The sequence below is a fragment of the Homo sapiens genome, chromosome 4 (genome assembly GCF_000001405.40).
Source record: "Homo sapiens chromosome 4, GRCh38.p14 Primary Assembly".
NCBI classification, from domain to species: domain Eukaryota; kingdom Metazoa; phylum Chordata; class Mammalia; order Primates; family Hominidae; genus Homo; species Homo sapiens.
The window spans coordinates 52,589,576-52,610,481 of record NC_000004.12 but is presented as its reverse complement, the minus strand read 5'-3'; the positions used below and the strand labels follow the sequence as shown (position 1 = coordinate 52,610,481).

The 20,906-nt window shown below is 41.3% G+C and overlaps 1 protein-coding gene across 5 annotated transcripts in view; it reads left to right on the top strand.

Annotated features, from left to right (window-relative positions):
* The window catches only part of USP46 (ubiquitin specific peptidase 46), a 68,342-nt gene extending 48,820 nt beyond the window's left edge, over window positions 1-19,522 (top strand). For 4 of the 5 annotated variants that reach the window (NM_001286767.2, NM_022832.4, XM_047416088.1 and 1 more), the window contains exons 6-9: window positions 5,898-5,981; window positions 8,428-8,625; window positions 11,776-11,854; window positions 12,741-19,522. In NM_001286767.2, coding sequence (NP_001273696.1) covers window positions 5,898-5,981; window positions 8,428-8,625; window positions 11,776-11,854; window positions 12,741-12,842 — 463 coding nt within the window. In that variant the 3' untranslated portion in view covers window positions 12,843-19,522. Of the gene's footprint in view, window positions 1-5,897; window positions 5,982-8,427; window positions 8,626-11,775; window positions 11,914-12,740 lie in introns of all 5 variants that reach the window. The other variant, NM_001286768.2, reaches the window with a different exon arrangement.
* Window positions 19,523-20,906: the final 1,384 nt, after the last annotated feature.

Below are 20,906 nucleotides of genomic sequence, written 5' to 3'. Positions count from 1 at the left end.
AAATCCTGTATTTCTTCAGGACATAATCTTCCCTTCTGTTAAACCAATATGATCCTATTATTTTCTATCTCTCCTTTCCCAAGAGCGATTATGTGGTCTGGAGAAGAGTCCCACTGAGAAAAAAGAGCATAAAATGGAAGTCATTAGTCAAAAGGGCAGGTGGCAGTGGCTGTAGATTTGAGATCAGCCAGGTAAAGTGTTAAGTGATTGGTGATAATTTCAACCTTTGGGAAACCTTGTTATAAGAAATAGAATTGAGGCCGGGCGCGGTGGCTCACGCCTGTAATCCCAGCACTTTGGGAGGCCGAGACGGGCGGATCACGAGGTCAGGAGATCGAGACCATCCTGGCTAACACGGTGAAACCCCGTCTCTACTAAAAATACAAAAATTAGCCGGGCATGGTGGCGCGCGCCTGTAGTCCCAGCTACACGGGAGGCTGAGGCAGGAGAATGGCGTGAACCCGGGAGGCGGAGCTTGCAGTGAGTCGAGATCGCGCCACTGCACTCCAGCCTGGGCGACAGAGCGAAACTCCGCCTCAAAAAAAAAAAAAAAAAAAAAAAAAAAAAAAAAAAAAAAAAAAAAGAAATAGAATTGAGGTTTAGGTTTCCATAATTTTTTTTTTTCCTGGAGAAATGTGTATGTTGGTCATCCATACCTGGTGAAGGCAGGCTAGAGGCACTTGGAAATGTTCAGGCTAGGGTGGGTGAGTATGAAGTAGCCTCTGAATGCCCTTTAAACATATTCAACTCTGTCTTATTGCACTGTGCAGGCTGATATCTCTGAAGTGCCTCCCCATCCCCTGTTTTACATCACACCTAATCTAGACCTTGACCAACTCGGCTATACCTGCCCTAACATGCGTGTGAGATGTCACCTCCACAGCAGAAAGAGAAGCCTGCCAGGTGTTGCCACTCACCACTCAGAGTTCCGTGATGGGAGAAGGACGTGCAGGAGAAAGATGCAGGGAGCAAATAATGCCAGTGGAGTCGTTAGCTTTCTCTGTCTCTCAGACAAAAGATAAGGGAAGGGTGGGCTCTTGCTTGGCCCCTTTCATGGTTTAATGTGGATTGCATTTTTGAGGATTTGTTTTTTAAACTAGAATTATGAATTTTCTTCTCTAATGTTATGTCTGCATATCTCTTCTGATATGTTTCTTTCATTTTGATAACTTTAAAAAATAAAAAGTTAAGCTAAAATGTTGGGATTTGAATCTAAGATCTCTGCCACCTTCTTCCAGAAGGTTTTTAGTTGGTGACTGAACTTTTGTTTCAGAGAAATGATATAAATAGTGTTTAAATTCAGGATACAGGTCTGGAGAAGCTGTTAAGTTTGTATGGTAGCTGAGTTATAATTCTAATATTTCAAACCTCAGTACTGTGTCTTAGGCAGAGTAAGCCATTTGTGTCATAGGAGAATACTGAGAAAGAAAGATGTTTTTTCCTTGTGAAAAGTTTAGGGGTGGCCTCAGGCAAAAACTTAAACTATGTGAAGTTTATCTTAATTGTCCTTGCATGGCCTTTTTGGTTATTTTTGTCTTCCACTTGAGCGCCTTAGACCCTCCCCATGACTCCTTCCCAGAATCTCCCCTTACTCCTCCAAATGCTCAGTGCTCTAAAACCACCACCTTCTCTTTCCTCTGTCTTCCTCTCATTTTAAATTCCCATTCTCCCAGTGCCGATGAGATCCCCAGGTTATTGGGAAGCATTGGAGCAATGGCTCTCTGCCCTGGCAGCACATTGGAATCACCCGGGAAGATTTAAGAACAACAATGCCTGGGTTCCACCTGGAGAGATTCTGATGTAATTGAATGGAGGGAGAGTGGGGGGTGGAGGGGTGCGGGATTGGGCATTGGGATTGTTTTTAAAGCTCTCAGATGATTCTATCGAGCAGCCAGGAGGGCAGAAGGAGAATCACTGCACTAGATTCTAGAACAAAGCTTCCCAACTGGTGAGCCAGGGAAAATGGATTAGATGTATTCATCTCCTCAGCTCCTGGGAGGCTGGGAAGGCCTGGCTGTGCCAGAGCCCCATGGCCAGCCATAGGCGCAGCCTCGTCAGTATATCCTGGTGTGTTTCTCATGTAGTATTTCTGTGTGGATCATGACATGGAAATTATCGGGAAGCATTGCTTGAGGATTTTTAATATCAATTTTGAATTATTGTGGTGAGTGAAAAAGAAGATTTTAATTGAAAATATATCAAAGATAGACATTAACTTGGACACGATAGCTGTGTTTACAAAAAATGATAGCCTTCCCATCCAGAAACAGTCTTTCTGCATTTTTTAAAGTTTTAAAATATTTGCATAAGGCTTTAGTGCCTTTTTTGTAAAAGTGTGCATTTCTTATTAGATTTGTTCCCAAAGTGTGTTTTCTTCTCTTTCTCTCCTTCCTTCCCTCCTTCCTTCCTTCCTGAGAACGAGGGTAAAAGTAGAACAAGGAGTTTGATCTATAACTGACTGTGAACCATCAATTGAGATAACTCACTACTTTTGGACCAGCCCTGTATTAGTCCATTCCCACATTGCTATAAATAAATACCCGAGATTGGGTAATTTATAAAGAAAAGAGGTTTAATTGGCTCATTGTTCTGCAAGCTGTACAGAAAGCTTGGTGCTGGCATCTGCTTGGCTTCTGAGGAAGCCTCAGGAAACTTACAATTATGGCAGAAGATGAAGGGGGAGCAGGCACATCACATAACTGGAACAGAAGCCAGGGGTTGGAGGAGGGGCTAAACACTTTTAAACGGCCAGATCTTGCAAGAACTCTCCACGATGTATGGTGAGGACAGCACCAGGAGGATGGTGCTAAACCACTCATGAGAATTCTGCCCCCGTGATCCAGTTACCTTCCACCAGGTCCTACCTCCAACATTGGGGACTACAATTGAATATGAGATTTGGGTGGGGACACAGATCCAAACTATATCAAGCCCCAAAGTGTATTTTTAAGTAATGTTTTATTGCTGCTCTGCCTCTTTTTAAAGCAATACAAAGAATTTTGTGTTTTTCTCCCAACCTCTGCTCTGTACTTTGGTAATTTATCCCAAGTGTTGGAAAGAGCAAGTGCCCCTCTTGTCTTTCTCATTGAAGAGTTTCCTATACCATTGTTGCCCACTTTTGTTCCAACAGGTATAGAACATTAACTGACAGCTGCTCTGCCTCAGCATTTACTGCTGGGGTCCTCGCCTTCTCCTAACTTACCTTCATTTTCTAATTCTCAACTCATGGATGCCCTAAGAGCATTACTCTGTCAGCAAGCTTCTTTGTAAAATGGGTCTTTACATTAGGTATTAACTTCTGCTATATTTCCACCTGTCTGGGTCTACAAATCAAATAAGTTTTTGGGGAAAATAAGAATGAGTAGGAATGAATGATTCCTTATTTGTTGCTGGCCTTTCTTTGGCTATTGTGACCCTTTAGCTTGGTAGTACAGCTTCTCTGCAGTAGACATTGGGAGGATATGAAGCTCCATCACACCCACACTCATCTCCCTGCCTCTGGCTCCCCGTTCCACTCCAGTCAATCCCATGCAGCCAAAACAAGATTCCACAGCACTTACTCAATTGAAGTATTCATTCAGCTAAGTATGAGTTTGTTTTATGCACCATGTACTTGAAATCTGAAAGTTTAGTACATTTGCATTCTAATGGCTTTCTTGCCTTTCATCCCTCTCCAATGCCCCCTCCACCATGCTGTCAAAAGTGGAATTTCTAAAAAGCACTACCTGATTATGTCGTTTCTTTGTTGAGACTGTTGGTTAGGGTTCATGCTGGCTTCTTGGTAGCATAGTCCAGGCTATGTGACTTGCTGCCTGATATGGTTTGGCTGTGTCTGCACCCAAATCTCATTGGATTGTAATAATTCCCACGTGTTAAAGGTGGGGCCAGGCGGAGATAATTGAATCATGGGAGCAGTTTTTCCCATACTATTCTCGTGGTAGTGAATGAGTCTCACAAGATCTGATGGTTTTATAAATGGGAGTTCCCCTGCACCTGCTGTCTCTTGTCTGCTGCCATGTAAGACATGACTTTGCTCCTCCTTTGCCTTCTGCCATGATTGTGAGGCCTCCCCAGCTATGTGAAACTGTGAGTTCATTAAACCTCTTTTTCTTTATAAATTACCCAGTCTCAGGTATGTCTTTATTAGCAGCATGAGAACAGACTAATACGTCACCGCTGCTGTTCCCTACCTCCAGGCCTCTGCACTGCAGTGTTCTCTCTCAGGAGTCATTGACCCTTATTCACTTGTTCACCTGGCACACTTTCCCTCTTTCTCTGTGCTTTCTCCTGGACTTTACACCTGCTTCTGTCTTGGTTGGTTCATTCATTCAACCAACAAATATTAATGTGTTCCATTGTGTGTCATGCTGGGGATATAGGAATGACAAGTGCACTGCCCACATAGAGGGGAGGCAAGTAATCAAATGAACAGAGGAATGGTTTCAGATGCTGGGAAGAAATAAGACGGCAATGTGATAGGGGCTGGATAGGCTTGGACAAAGTGGCCAGAGAAGTTTTCTCCAAAGAGGGGATGTTTAGGCTGAGTGCTGAACAACCGGGTTAGCCAGCCATGGAAGCCTCTGGGAGGAAGCTCTCAGTGCTGAGAAAATAGCACCTGCAATCACCCTAAGGTGAGAAGAGGATTTCCCAGGGCCAGTGTGGCTGGAGCAGAGAGAAGGAGGCAGGGTGGATAAGTGCACTGGAAACTGCTGGAGGATTTCAGCAGGGGAATCATGTAATGCTTTCTGTTGAAGCTGCACTGATCATTTCATGTTGTCAGTGGTTCATTTGCACACATCTCTGTTAAAGTGTGAGCCGTATGAAGGCAGTTATTCTCTGTGGATCCCCAGAACCTAGCCCAGAGGACTGGCAGGAAACATTTGGGGACTTAATGAATGAAAGAATCTGTGTTTTCTTTTGATGTGTTCTGTGTAAGTGGTAGAATCATTTAACACATTTTAAATAACATTTTCTGTTTAATAAAATCTGGTCATTATGGTACTAGGACACTGAACAAGGAAATGCCCCAGAATTTTTCAAAACTATAGGGTATTAGTCCAGATGTTCTTTTCAGCCTTTGAAGCAGTACCACAGAAATGTTAAGTAGAATCTTGATGGCTGGAAAAGAATGAAAAACCATGACATTTAAAAAATAAAAACCGTAAGTAGCAGAGTAGAACCTCATGATAAGGCAGATACACATATGACAAACACAATGGCTTTTGTTCTCCAAAGGAGGCAGGCAAAAGTTCATCTCCTCCGGCGGGGGAGCAGTGGGGAGCAGGGGTTGGTAGGAGGTGGTCATCTGATTAATTCAGGATTTCTTTAGTTCACTAAGAGGGCAGTTTTGTATGTGGTTTAAATTTCATTATCTTTACTTTCATGCTCTTTGAAAATATGGACTACCAGAGAAATACTATTTTTCATTAACTACACAATAATGTCACCTTGCATGTTATGTGATTTACTTTCTGGATCTAAGTTTTAGTGTTTACGGTGAACTTTTACTCAACAGTATTTTTCTATTACGATTTTAATTTCTAGCTTATAGGTATTCTCCATTAAATCATGAGTTTTTTTTCTGAATCCAGTTGGAAACCCTAATTTATATCTGCCTGTGTCCCATTAAATAAAACTATATTTGAATCTCTCATGGTAAATTCATGATTCGATGAAAAGAGCATGTCTACCACCGTAATGGCACCCAGTCTTAGCTTATTTTTGTTTTTCATCCTGTAGTTTCTCTACCATCCTAGTCTTAAGTAGGATTTTTTTCTGATTACTTCTTCTTCCATTTTTACTTAAAAATTACCCTACAGGTTAATTGAGGGATTTAAAACATAGTATACCAAGTAGATTTGGACATTTTTTAAAGATGGAAATATTTTCCTCTACAGAGACTTCAGCAACACAGAAACACTGTGTAGTGAACAAAAATATTATTGTGAAACATGCTGCAGCAAACAAGAAGCCCAGAAAAGGTAGGTAAAGATTTAGCTCAGGGTTATCTTTGTGTGGTGAGAAGGATCCCGACTGTGGGGCCCAGCAGGGTTGGCTTTGAATCAATCTCAGCTACCTGGGCTTGTAGCCATGGAGCCTTGGGGAAGTCAGTTATCCTCCTCACCAGTGAAACTGGGATAAGAACGCTGACCTTGGAGAGAACAACTTGGAGAGTTGTCTGTCCGATTGTTTACTTATTTGTTTATTCATTCAGTCATTCAGCAAATATTTGTTGAGCCCTGCCATGTGCCAGATATTATGCTAGATAAACAAGTAATGATTAAATATAATCACTATTCTCTTGAGATTAAAGGTAAATTATATAAAGTACTTAGCAGAGTATATAACACATAGTAGACACCCAATATTATTTTTGTTTGTATTGCTTAAACATTAGGACCTCTTATTTAGAGACAGAGGTTTAAAAAATATATATCATTTCATAAGGACTCATGAGGAAATTATTAACACATCAGTTATAAGAATAGGTGATTAGAGGCTGGGCACAGTGGCTCACACCTATAATCCCAGCATTTTGGGAGGCCAAGACAGGCCGATCATTTGAGGTCAGGAGTTTGAGACCAGCCTGGCCAACATGGTGAAACCCCGTCTCTACTAAAAACACAAAAATTAGCTGGGCATGGTGCCAGGTGCCTATGATCCCACCTACTCGGGAGGCTGAGGCAGGAGAATCACTTAAGCCCAGGAGGCAGAGGTTACAGTGAGCTGAGATCGTACTACTGCACTCCAGCCTGGGTGACAGAGTGAGACTCTGTATCAAAAAAAGAAAAAAGAAAAAGAACAGGTGATAAGAAAGTTAGAAAGTTATTGCACCACCTTTCCTGCACACTAGACAGTTACAGTTCTTGGAAAATCTGGAATAACCCCCATTAATCTGCTCCTACAAGCCAGGAAAGTTGCCATTTCAGTCATCCTGCGAAGGCTTCCTGTGAGTTAAATCTATCTTGTCAGTGGTTCTGGAGTATTCAAGGCAGCTGGCAGATGCTCAATACTGCTGTCTAAAACCCTCAGGGGTCTAGACCTGAGGTTGAGATCATTTCTCTGCCCAGCCTTCCCAGGCGTTCACTCCAAACATGTACACTTTTCTTTGCTGCAAAACTTACAGATGGTTAGTCACCTTAGCGGGCAGTCCTCAAGGAGGTAGGTAGATACCTTTTGTTAGTAAAGAAGGTCACTCATGTCTGTCCCCCATCCTTATAACCTCAATCTGCCTAAGGCTGGCCTGGGGTCTTCCTTTGTGGCATTAAGACATTTTTTGTTCAGCCCTGGGGGGTTTATATATTGCAATGTCATGTGTTCCCATAAAACATGGGGTTCCCCATACTTCTTATTTCTCTACTGTTGTTTTACTTGCTTATTTATATGAACAGGGCTTTTCCTTAATAGATTCCTTAAAACTATTCTTCTAAAATTTGTCTTTTTCACATACTATGCATTAAAAATGTACACAAACTAAATGGCATTTACACTTAATTCAGTACATTCATGGAATGGGGGCTGGAAGGTAACTGGAAGACCCTCTATTCTAGCAGTGTACTCTGCATAAACTGTTGCCTTTGCGACTTTTTACTGAGAAATGTTAATGGTCACCTAGTAAAAAAACTTTTCTATGTTTATATAAGTTTGGGAAGTGCAACATCAAACAACAGAACAATTCCTTTACTGCAGGATTTCTCAAAGTCTTCAGTCTGGTAATGTACACATAGGATCTTCAAAGCAGAAAGTAGCATCATCCAAACTTACTTAGCCACAGAAACACCACATCTGTTAACATCTCCAGTGCTCTCCTGAGCCCAGTTTGTGAAATGTAGCCCTAAGCCAACCCCTGCATTTTATAAATAAGGAAACTGAGAGCTAGAGAAGGGAAGTGACTTGCCCAAGATCACAAGGGTCGGAATGAGAGTGAGCCTGGCACGCTTGGTGTCCCGATGCCCAAGAGTGTGTGTCAGAAGCATCCATCCTCCTGCCAGTCCTCAGAACCTGTAAGTCCAGCAGTCGGCATCATCTACCTTGTCCTCTTCCCAGCTTCCTGTTCTCAAAAGCTCTCAACCTTCCTCTCCATCATCTCAGGGGGTAGATTGTCCAAATATCATTTCTCTCTGGAAGGCACAGGGCAGTGATGGAGAACAATTGCACAGCCTATTTTTATTTGTACAAAAATTCTGGAACGTCTCCTTCCAACAAACAGACACACACCATTGTACATTTCTCCTGCTGGGAGCCAGGGATGTAGGATAAGTCAGCTCTATATATGCCAGCATACTTTTATCCTTGCAAACTGTTTGGTTGTTTGCTGGTTTGAAGTTGGATAGAACCTCCTACTATTCTGTTTGTGCAGATGACAGTGTATTCTCTTCCCCTAATAGGTGTTGGGTACAACTGATTTTCTATTTCTTGGTTTCTTAGGATGAGGGTAAAAAAGCTGCCCATGATCTTGGCCCTGCACCTAAAGCGGTTCAAGTACATGGAGCAGCTGCACAGATACACCAAGCTGTCTTACCGTGTGGTCTTCCCTCTGGAACTCCGGCTCTTCAACACCTCCAGTGATGCAGTGAACCTGGACCGCATGTATGACTTGGTTGCGGTGGTCGTTCACTGTGGCAGGTAAGGGCAAGACTGGAAGCAGGTATACAGGGTAAGTGTAAGGGTTGCCTCTTCGCTGAAGTATACCCAGCTGCACCTTTCCTGGGCCGTGGCACTCAATAGTTTTGGGATCTCTGCCAAACTCTTACTGATCATCACAAAAAATATATAAACATGCCTGCAGGCACATAAAATAAAGAGCATTCCAGTAATGATAATCTAAATGTTCTATCATGAGAGAAATTACTTAATAAATCTCCATTGCATGAAAACGATGGTTATGAAGAATTTGAAATAACATGGAGAAATAAATGTCTATGCTATGATTTTAATTTTTAAAAAGCCAAGTTGCATTTACAGTATGATCTCAAAAGTATTTTAAGATGTGTAAATAAAGACTAGAAGCAATGGATCAAATTTAATAATTTTTTGGCACTTTGAGTGATTAAAAATATATTCTTAAAAAATATTCTTTGTTATTTTTGGTCTTTCCCCAACATTCTGTAATAAGTATATAATCAGAAAAAAGATAAGAGAGAGAAGGCCTCTAGATATGGAGAGGCAAAGCATTTTGCCAAAATTCCTTTGAGCAGCTATTTTTTATTCCATAATTTGGTATAAGGGAAGAAAAGTATCTTGAAAATTCACCTGTTTGTTATTCTTTGCTCAGTTGGGACAGGTTTATGTTCTGTCTTGGGAGTAGGCACAGCTTTCCCCCTGCCCTCATAGGTTTTAGATTGGGGCATGTCATAGAGCAAGAGTCTTTCTCCTCCATCTGTTAAGGTCGGATTATGGTGAATACACCATTACCAGGAGACTACCATTGCCACGCAGAGGAATAGGTTGATATATTTTTAATTGTGTACTAGGGTAGATGGCATCAGAAACTGTATAACTTCACATCTGAAGCACCCCATATTTTATCCTGTGTGTATTAACTTTAAGTCACTGGATATTTTCTTGTATTCTCAGTAAAATGATATTTATTGGCTAGTTATATGCCAGTTTTGTGGTGTTCTCCCTAAAGAACACCTGTTATTCTTTTGAAGAACACAGGGTTCCAGTGATCTGGAACCCAGCCTTGAGCACTGGATGAGGCCTCACATTGGTGCAGGGTTGGGGAAGATCTTAGGGCAGGCAGAGCCTGGGACCTGGTGGGCATTGTGGCTAAAGTGGGTGGCAGGGGTGGTGTGGACAGGAGGGCCCCTTGCACAGGGTACACAGGACTTTCAGTGTGGGTCTCTGTGGGTGCCCAATTCAAATCCTTGGGAGGACTGGCAGAGACACAGGTAAGGGAACTGGACGTTCAGCGGGAGGTTGGGTTCTCTAAGGTCAGTTTCTGTAATGTGAGCACAAGGTCAGAAGAGCCCTGGTAGCAGAGCTCAGTTGGTGCCAAGTCATGCATGCCACTAACTAGGATTCTTCAAACTCCTCCCCACAGAAGTAGCATTGTTCTCCTATGTGGAGCAGGGCTGGCCTATGCTTGCGGATTGGGTGGCTTCCAGGTAGCACTGGAAAGCTTTGAGGTTAGGGAGCTGGGCCTGCCTTCCCTTCCATGCCAGGACCTCCTGGCCCACAGTTGCAGCAGGTGCATAGCCTCATGCACTGATTTCTGCTGCAAGTTTTTTTTTAAGCTCATATATTCTGGATTCCATGCCAGGATCTGAAAATAGAGTAACGAAAAGACACACAGCACAGGGACCCTGCCCTCACAAAGCTTATAATCTATCTGGAAAGACTGATAATGAACAAATAAACACACCACCCTGCTACCCCCAAAAACAAACCACTGCAGATAATTTATGATTTTGATCAGTGCTATCAGGAATAAGCAGGGAGATGAGGGAGTGAGTGATGGGAGATACATCTTCAGGTGAGTTGGTCAGCAGAGATTCATCTGGGGAGGTGACATTTGAGCACAGGGCTAAATAGAATGCAGTTGGGGGAGGATTATCTCTGGCAGAGTTTACAGCAATGCAAAGGCCCATAATATGAAGGGGGCAGTGTGTGAGAGGAGCCAGATGGGCTGGAGCTCAGAGGGAAAGGGAGACAGTAGCTGGAGGAGGCTGGAGAAAGGGCAGGAACAGATCATTGCCATCATCTTGTGTTGAAAGAGGGTAAACAGAGGGGGAAGTTTGGCTTTTTCAACTTTAACAGTGCATTAAAAAACAGTTTTAGGTTTAGGATTGAAATCTCCTCACTTGTGCAAATCTAACCTAACTACATAGTAACAGGTGCTTAGTTGTCCTTTCTGCTTTTTTCCATATAGCATAGTATACGGCTTTTTAACACTTGTTACTATGCATATTGGTTTATTAATGTCTTTCTAAAGCATAGATCATACAACTCCTTAAAATTCCCCATTTCTTCCTGGCTTGCTCAAGCAAAGCCTAAAATCTTACCTGCAATTCCTTCTACTGCGCCTGCCCCTCAGCCCCCTCTGGTCTTCCCCGCCTCGCTCACTCTGCTGCTCTGGCCTCCTTTGGCCTCTCTGCTCTTCCTGAACACACCAAGTGCTACTCGCCCACCCCAGGCCTTTGCACTTGCTATTCCCTATTTCTGAAACTTCCATCCCAGAGTCACATGGCTTCTCTCCACGCCCTGACCCCCACCCCTACCCCTCCCCCTGCCATTTCCTTCAGGGAAATTTCCTTCTACTCACATTATCAAAGTGGCCTCCCTTCACTTTCCATCAAATATTACCTCCTCCCATCACTCATATCCCATTACCCTGCTTCATCCTTCTCCATGACACTTCTCACCACTTGACATACATTTATAAGTTTAGTTTGTGTATTGCCAATCTAGCCCCTACCCCAAGTCCTAAGTAAGTGGGGTCTTTGTTTTGTTCACTGCTTCTTCCCCTGACAGCTAGAATAGGGCCTGGCACAGAATACGTAGAGAGTAATTTTTTGTTAATATTTGCTGAATTTGAGTGTCTGTTTTTGCTGCTGGATTATGAGTCCTTAGGAGACATCTCTTCTGCACACTTTTGTATTCCCCTGTGTCCAGCATGGTGTTGTAAACATAGACATGAGCTATATGCCAAGTTCTTTACGCTGATGACATAGTTTTTTTTCCCAGAGAATCACTGCTTATAAAGAGCTAAGTAGAGTTTTATAAAGAGATAAATGTTAACTTGCTAACTGCCTTTTATTTGTTCTTTTCCAGTGGTCCTAATCGTGGGCATTATATCACTATTGTGAAAAGTCACGGCTTCTGGCTTTTGTTTGATGATGACATTGTAGAGGTTGGTTTGCAGATTATTCTCCAGTAGTCATAGAGCATCAGTAGTATTTCGGAGAATGTGTATGTATAGACATTTTCTAAAATAGGCCTGTTTCCCCATAATGTAATTTGAAAACAACTTAAATTTGTATTCAAAACCAAATTCTGCTAATCCCCATGCTCCATGGAAAGGGAGAAGGGGTGTGATCATGGACTCACTGACGCTGTGTTCTCCACGGTTCATCCATAGACATGGGATCTCTCTATCTGTGCCACCGTAAATCAGACTTCAGTCTAAGTCTTGTTTCTTATCATGACTAAAGCCCCCTCTGATACAGGGCAAACAATAGACTTCAAAGTTGTATTAAAATTATTATAACAAATTTTTCTTGTATTGATTATTGTTTAAAATATTTTATTCAGTCTGTTGGATCTGGAAATCTTTATATTATACCAATACATTCTATGTATTGATTTTGTTATAAAAGAATACTAGCTGGAATGAATTCTACACTCAAAGACATGATCTATTTTAACCCACTAAGGTAGCAGTTTTAGTGGAATAACACCAAAAGAGATGAACTCTGGTGGCCGAAAAGACTTAGGGCTATTTCCAGGACCCATCAGTTTACCATCTGGGAGATGTCTTGGCTTGTTCTTCAAAGAGTGCCCACACAGGGTTGCTAATGCATGAAGGCATTGCCTTCTTTCCCAGAGATGTACAATTTATGTGATGATGTCCTTTAGCCAAGTCTGTGGAATTCTCCATTTGCTATTGAAAGTTCCTAATGATGATTTCATAACAAATTGTGTTCCTTGCATTTTAATATATATTCCATTAGTTTTTATTTCCTTTCCCCAGGAATCATGTTAAGTAATTGTGTTGTTTTCTTTCTCCTTTATTGCAGAAAATAGATGCTCAAGCTATTGAAGAATTCTATGGCCTGACGTCAGATATATCAAAAAATTCAGAATCTGGATATATTTTATTCTATCAGTCAAGAGAGTAACTGAAAGACCTGCGGGACTGATTCACGTGGGGAGAATGTTCACAGCACTGTCACCCGGCTTCTCCGCAGGCTTTCCTCTTCCCCAGTGGCCCACTAATGGTATCACTCCGAGTCTCAATGGTCTGGCTGTGTTAGACTCTCTCCTTTTGTGTTTTTACATGCAGCACTACTCTTGGTTTTATTTCAGTCTGACATAGAGTTAACTGCAATCAGATTGTAGTCTGATTTATATGAATAACGGTTGCTAATTTTAGGACTGGGTGAAAGCTATGCCATTCATTATGTCTGGCTGTATTAGAATGACATTTCCTATGAATGTCTACGGTCTGTTTTAGGTGTTTGCTAAACTTCTATGGCTTCCAGGGTCTTCTTACAATGCATTCCTTTAACTTGTCCCTGGAAGCATTGCTACCCATTTTCAGCTTCTCTGCCTCTCTTCTGATACAAGGACAGAAGAATTGGGTAGATATTCACCTTTTAGGGGTGCAAGTATAGCTTTAAGTTTGTGCAAGTGAAAATGTTGAAAAGTGAGTAACCTCGATATTAAAATCATCCTTGACATGAAACAGGGTGAAGAGAAGCTGTCCGTGGCGGCTGGTGTTGGCTGGCATTGGCACTGGGCTGTGCTGACCTAGCCATTACAATTCCAGGGGCTAAGAAGGCTCAGGGCAGACAAAGTCAAGAGGAGGAAGTTTTTGTGGACAATGAAAAGTTATTTTCGTACCTTTCTACCAAAACCAAGTTTCAGGAAAATAACTCTATGTTGTTTATTTTCAGTGACACTTATGTAAGGCCCTGTGAGTTGTATTTATCCTGTATCCGGCACTGCTAAGCTTTTCAAGGTATCTTTCCAATCCTGCTGATGTGGCAGTCAATGGCTGCAGGGCTGGCAAACCTCCCCTTAGCCAGTCAGCACGGCATTGTTCCTTATCAGGAATAACAAAGGTACTACATCTTTCCAGCCATCAGCACGTTGTACAACTTAACTTTTTAACATAGTCCGTCTGTTTACTGAGGCACTGGCGAGTCCCAGGGCTGATACAGAACCTTCCCTAGAGGGAATACCAGAGTTAGCTGGGTATAGAGGTGGCTCAAAGGAAGTGTCCGTGGGCAGGGGGAGGAATGAACAAAATGGCGCTGTTTCTTTGGCTCAGACTCCTAGAATGCTTGACAAGACAGAATTTTTTTGGAAGAACCTCATCTCACTATAGTTACTTTTTTCACTTTTGTTATATATGTATTTATTAGAGCATTTGAATATTGGTACCTTTAAAAGGGTCATTTGGTGTTTTGCTGTTGAGCTGGTTTTTGAGTCATAGATCTTGGCTTCCTTTAGAAGCCACTTAACTTCCATACACTATAATAAACTGTGAACATATTTTTGTTACCTAATGCATCCACTGATGAACATGCAAACTTTGGGCATAATGTGAACTAAAATTGAAATGGAAAATGTTAGTGGCCATTTTGCAACAATGAAGAGGATAGCACTTTATCTAGATGAAAACTGGATTTCTTATCTTTGAAATATCTTGAACTGTTTATTGCTCAGAACTTAAGTAAGCATGCCAACATTTCGTTTGTTTATGCTTGAAGTGAAATGTTTTACTTTTCACTGGAGAAGACAAAACAGGGTGATCTTCATGTTATTGTTTTATACAAGTGATGGAAATGTACCTTGCCTTGTTTAGAGGCAATTTCACATTTATAAATATTTTTTTTTCCTCCATGAAACTTACGCAGTAATCACTACCTGGAAGGTGAGTTTTGATCTCTTTTTAAGGAGAGGCACTTTCCAACTGAAGGTGATTGATGTAGGGAAATGTTTGTACTATATAGAATCCATATATTTGACTGCAAGTTACAAAGTTTTAAGAACATGATGGTTGGTCTCTAATATATTTGGAACTGATTCATAAGAAAAGTTATTAAAATTATCTTTGAAACACCTCTTGAAGCTAATTTATTAGAAAAAATATTTCAGTTGGAAGGCTGTAGAAGTAATGTTTAAATGCTAAGTCATAAGTTCAGGATATTTCTTTTCTATTTGGTTGTGCAAAATGTTTTTCCCAGTTATTTAATCGAAGTAATTCCTTTTAATAGAAAGAGTCAGTTAAAATTCAGCATTCATGGATAGATTTTTGGAACGAAAAAGGGTAAGTATAAGAAAATATTGCAAACACATTAAAACAGTTGTATGGTGCAGGAAAAGAAGATTGGAAAAAGACCAAAACACACTTCTCCAGCAACACTCCATCAGCTTTTTAAAATTTAGAGCTATCTGCTAATTTTTTCCCTCTTCCTTCTCAATAAATGAAACAAACACTGGGCAGCTGCAGGTTTCTCCCAATCATGTCTCTTTATGTAAAGACAGTAACATGCAAACACTTTTAGTTTACATCCCTCATTCACAGTGTAAAGCAGGAAATGGTGTGGGAGATGTGAGACCATTCTGAGGTCAGCGATAGCCCAAAGGCTCTGCAGTATTCCCTCCAATGGCCAAGGATTCCGTGTGTCATCTGCAGGAGTGAGTAGGCCTGCTGTATTTCTTGTAACTGCTGGGTGTTACAAAATAAGTTACAATGTTTTACACTTTAAAAAAAAAACAGAAGGAACATTTGCTTTATTGGTTACTTACTAGTTTAGCCTCTAGGTTATGGCACAGCATGCTAAAAAATCATGTGTTTAAAAGTAAATGTTGGTAAAATGCTGGCATCTGGTCCTATTGTGTTGATGCATTTTCACTTCTGTGGTCATAGGAAATGGACTGGTCTAAAGAGAGTGAGGCACAACACAAGCAGGGCATTAGTTTGAATAGGAAGTCAATCATATTTGGTTTTATGGCCTGGTGTATTTTGGGTTTAAGATAAAATAGGGAAAAATGTCAGAAATGATCCCTATGCATTTATTTTCATGGATACCCTTAATTTCATGGGCATGCCTAATAATGATCTATGTTCTAACTGGAGCTTAGGGCTTATTTTAGATATTGGAGTGTAGCTTTATTACAGATGGATTTTATCTTTCAACATTGCATTTTGATCAACTTTGTATATTCACGTGTATTAAAATATTGTGCACTAAATGTTTTGCCCTTGTTTGCTATTATATGGTCAAGGCATTTATCAGCACTATTGTAATGAACTCATGTAAGTGGCATGGGTCAGGGAAAATTATTTCCTACTTTTCTGCCTAATTAAATTTCTGTTTTCCAGTATTACATTAATTTATTTTTGGCTTCCATTTCTGTATAACCAAAATAGTTACTGTATTTGTGTGGCATTCCTATTATTTTGTTGCTAAAAATATTGTAGTTTTTATTTAAAATAATCTGTACCTTAATTTTTTAAAATGTAACCAATTCAAGCACTTTAAGCAATAATGTCAATCTTGTGAAATTTTAATCAGTTTAACACCCTGCCTCTAAAATTGTTTGCAAAAAATAAATAAATGAATAAAATGGGAATTCTCTTTCTAGAGAATTATATCCGGGTAATGCTACACACATGGACTTAAAATCCTTTTTATAAAGTGTGAGTCAGTGGCAGGTCTTATGTCCAAGTAATTATTACAAACAATTTTGAAGCAGTGGAAATGTACAGAACATTCTGATCATTATAATATATAAAGGCAGTATTACTCTCAAGGTTGATAAAAATCAATGTTCTGGAGATAACTCATCACTTTTTTTGAGTGAAAAAGATCAACAGAATTTAATTCAGGAAATGGTATCTGGAGAATAGCAAATTGAGAATATCAGTGAAAAGAATTTAGGGATAGTTAACTAGGCATCACAGTGAATTTATTTTTGGGGACTTTGCATATAAAATCCTTTTAACCAGTTATGAAATGAAAGATCCATTCCCCAAATAAGAAGGCAGCTTCCAGTATCTGGTTTCTAGGAAGGAGTAGGACTGTGATTGGTCCCTGGTGCCCTGACTTCTGGGCCTGTTTCTGAGCCATGGGGGACCCCCCAGCTTCAGAAATACTCACGTGGGTTCACACCACTCCCTGCCCCAGAAGGAGGGCAGGCACAGGTCCATGCCATGTGGCCTCAGTGAAGCCTACAGTAACTATGGGTAGGGCTGCTTTTCCCTGTCAATCACCCAGGGCACCTGTGGGTGGACAGAAGATTGTCATCGGAATACATGCTTGGGCCCAATTATGGGAATAAAACCTCATAGACCAAGAGCAGGGAATGTGCCAGTAAGTGTTGAGTCTCCCAGCTGCTGTCCATCTTCTCGGGGCAGTGCAGTTGAACCTGACTGAGCTGGAACAGAGACTGTTGGGAAGGTCACTTCTGTCTGCCACGAAGGCCAAAGGCAGAGAAGACCTTCTTGGGACTGTGTTTTTCTTTCCTAGGCCTCACTTTGTCCTGGGATTTATAGGACAGGCCTGTCACTACCAAGGTGACACAAATTCTAGAGAATGTATTTTCCCATTTCTTCAAATTTCCTTTCCTCTCTTTTTATTGATACTTAAAATACCTTTACTAAAAAAATGAAGCCTTCCATTTCCATTCCCTTATATTTACATGAAGATAAAAATACTTACTAAGTCGTTGTATTTGTCCATTCTGGCAGTGCTATAAAGACATACCTGAGCGTGGGTCATTTCTGAAGAAAAGAGGTTTAATTGGCTCATGGTTTTATGGGCTGTACAGGCTTCTGTTCTGGGGGAGGCCTCAGGAAACTTACAATCAGCAGAAGGCAAAGGGAAAGCAAGCCCATCTTACATGGCAGGAGCAAGAGGAAGAGAGCAAAGGGGGAGGGGTTACACACTTTTCTTTCCTTTTTTTTTTTTAAGATGGAGTCTCACTGTCACCCAGGCTGGAGTGCAGTGATGAGATCTCAGCTCACTGCAACCTCTGCCTCCCGAGTTCAAGCGATTCTTCTGCCTCAGCCTCCCAAGTAGCTGGGACTACAGGCATGTGCCACTATACCCGGGTAATTTTTGTATTTTCAGTAGATACAAAGTTTTCTCATATTGGCCAAGCTGGTCTGGAACTCCTGACTTCAGGTGCCTCAGCCTCCCAAAGTGCTGGGATTACAGGCAAGAGCCACCTTGCTCGGCTGGGGTTACACACTTTTAAACAACCAGATCTCGTGAGAACTCAGTCATGAGGCAGTACTAGGGGGATGGTGCTTAACCACCTATGATGCAATCACCTCCCACCAGGCCCCACCTCCAACACTGGGGATTACAATTCAACATGGGATTTGGGTGGAGACACAGAGCCAAACCGTATCAGTCATTTTTCTTTTACTGAAGGAAAATTTTGGTTGTGGGGTTAGTACTAAAGATAGCCCATGTAGACTTTTTCTGAAGATACCCCAAGTGGAGAGATTTTTAATTAGGCATTTATTTGGCACCTATTGCATTCTAGGCATTGTGATAGGAGCTGGGGGATAAAAAGGTGACACAGATTGGGTCCCTCTTATGGACTCGTTTTTTGTCTCAGAAGACAAGTCTGGGTGAGAAAGAAATTTAAAATTTAAGTTGTGGAAATAACACGTGTGGGGGAAACTCCTTGCAATTCAGCACAGTTTGGTATTCAGCCCCAGCCTCAACATGCAGATGGCACTGTTGGATGAAGCCACACCATCTTTTTTCCTGGGAGCCCCACACTCTTCCCAGCCTGCCTTCTAGCTCAGGGACAACACATTTTGAAAAACAAAGTATAAATCGATTATGTTGCAACAATGAACTTCACGTTTTGCCTCTTCTCATGTTAAAAGAGCCAGTATCATGAAAGCCTCAACAGTGAGCTTTATGAATCAAATATCTGTTATTTCTAAACAATCTGTTTACATTATGACCAAATAATTAGAGCCTATCTAGACTTACCAAAATAAGATAGGGCATAAGCGATTTATTGGTGCATCAGCCTTTGTTTGCTTTTTAAGGTTCCTTTATGTTTTAAAGGGATTTGAACAAAAGACATCAGGAGCTTACAAAGGAAAAATAGCTTCATTTTGGTTATGAGATACCAGAGTCAGAAATGACATTAGATTGTATAGAAAAGACTTCTAATTGTGTGCTTACTTCCCACATGATTATAATAAACTATATATTAACAACCTTGGGATCGTACTCAGGTTGTCAATTACACGGATGCATCTTTCACTTTTTTCTTTCCCAAGAGTGAGAGAAAGAGTGAGGTTGTGCTTAAGGCAGTGTGGAATTCTACAGAAGCTCTTCTTGGAAAAGGAGTTCAGGCACTTGTGTTGTAGACTGCAGTCTGATTCTGTTCTTACTTCCTCTCAGCATAAGGGAGCTTTGAAAAGAAAACTCAGACTTGTATCCGACTTGACCAGAAGCAAAATAACTTGATCATTGAAGCCACTATTTCTGTGTATTTGATCAAGTCCTCCTCTGGAATCCAATGCAGCCATATTCATATTTCGGTCTCTCTTAATGGACCTTGCTGGAAAGAACATTCTGTGCTAAGAAAATGGAAAATAAACGTGAGAAAACTTTAAGAATGAGCCTTCACACCTCCTGCAGCAGGTGATAGCTCTGTACTTCAGAGCTTGTCTCCAGGTTGAGAATTACCTGTTTTCCACTCTGAGGGGATTAGAAAGATACTGTTTTAATGGGTTATAAAACTTGTGTGAAGAAGATTGGCCTTCTCCACCTCTCCTGTGAAATAAATTGTTTGAAAACTCTTTGAAGAGAAATGGCTTCAGTATATTGTTCTATCTCTGCTACCCCAAAGCCCAGAGAACAAATATTAAGTATAAATTGCTAGGCTAGGTATGTCATATGTGGCAGCTTTGACATGTAAACCAAAAGACTGAGCCAAGTCTCAATCAATGTACAGGTTATTTTGCCAAGGTTGAAGACACACTAGGGAAAAGAGACACAAGCTACAGTATGATCTATGGCCCCTACTTTCTCCAAAGAGGATTTTGAGGGCTTCAGTATTTAAAGGGGAAAAGTAGGCAGGAGGAGAAAGGAGGAAAGAACAAAAAAAAGAGGGAGAGCATGGTCACATTCTTAGGAGGCTTTGATTCACACTCACTGAATCCATGTGTTGCACGTGGCAAGGAATGGGTAGAGGAACAGTCGATTATGTATGTCCCCTGCTCAGTAAAACTGCACTTTACAAAAGATAAACAGAATAGGGGAAGAAGTCAAATATGCATTTATCTCAGGCTGGGCAGTGGGGATGGTTTGTACTCTCCTCTTGTCCCATACTTGGGGAGGCCACCTGGGGAGACATGGCCTCTTGTAGCTATCTGTTTAGGAACAAAAGGAAAGACAGTGTTCTGTGACCCAGCTTCCAAGCTTAACTTTTCCCTTTGGTATAGTGAGTTTGGGGTCCCAAGATGTTCTTTTCCTTTCACAGATGTATGACACTTCAGCAGAAGGGTGAAGGCTGTAGAAGGGAGAGAAAACCCTCTTCCTGTATGGCTATTGATTGACTTTGACTTTTAACTGATTATGTCATCTGAGGAGTCTGTGAAGGTTTATGAAGAATGAATTCACCATACAACCTCCCCTCAGATGGAAATGTGTACATAATGTAGAAGAATAAGGGGCTGTGAGTTTCGGGGGTAAGAGGAGGGGAATAAAGTTAAGACTCCTAATACTGCTTAGCTTCTAGCCTTGGGTCTTGCCGCAACGCCTGCCCAACACCTGTGTGTGTGTGCTTTGCAAGGTTAGCTGGGACTTAGGTAGACCCCACTTTGTCTGTCGCTGACAGGAAACCTACACATTCTCTGCTCTTTCTGCTGTTTCCCTGACCTCGCTCTCCCATGGAATTTTAGATTCAATTCAGTGGAGTTCAGGTTCCAGTGTGGGTTGATCACCAGCCGATGCAATCCCCCTAGCATATGGGAAAGCAAAGGATCAGGAGGCATGAGATCCTAGTTCAGTCCTGGCCTTTGCTTCCTGGTTTGCCTAAGTCAGATGTTGGACATAGTATTGGGGTAGGGTGCTGATGAGTGGTAGTTGGTGAAGGGGCCATTTTCCACACAAGTCCCCAAGGGAGACAGACCAATTGGCAAAACAATGGAAAGTATATAATCTTAGCTACTTAAATCATAAGTAGTTCTGGGA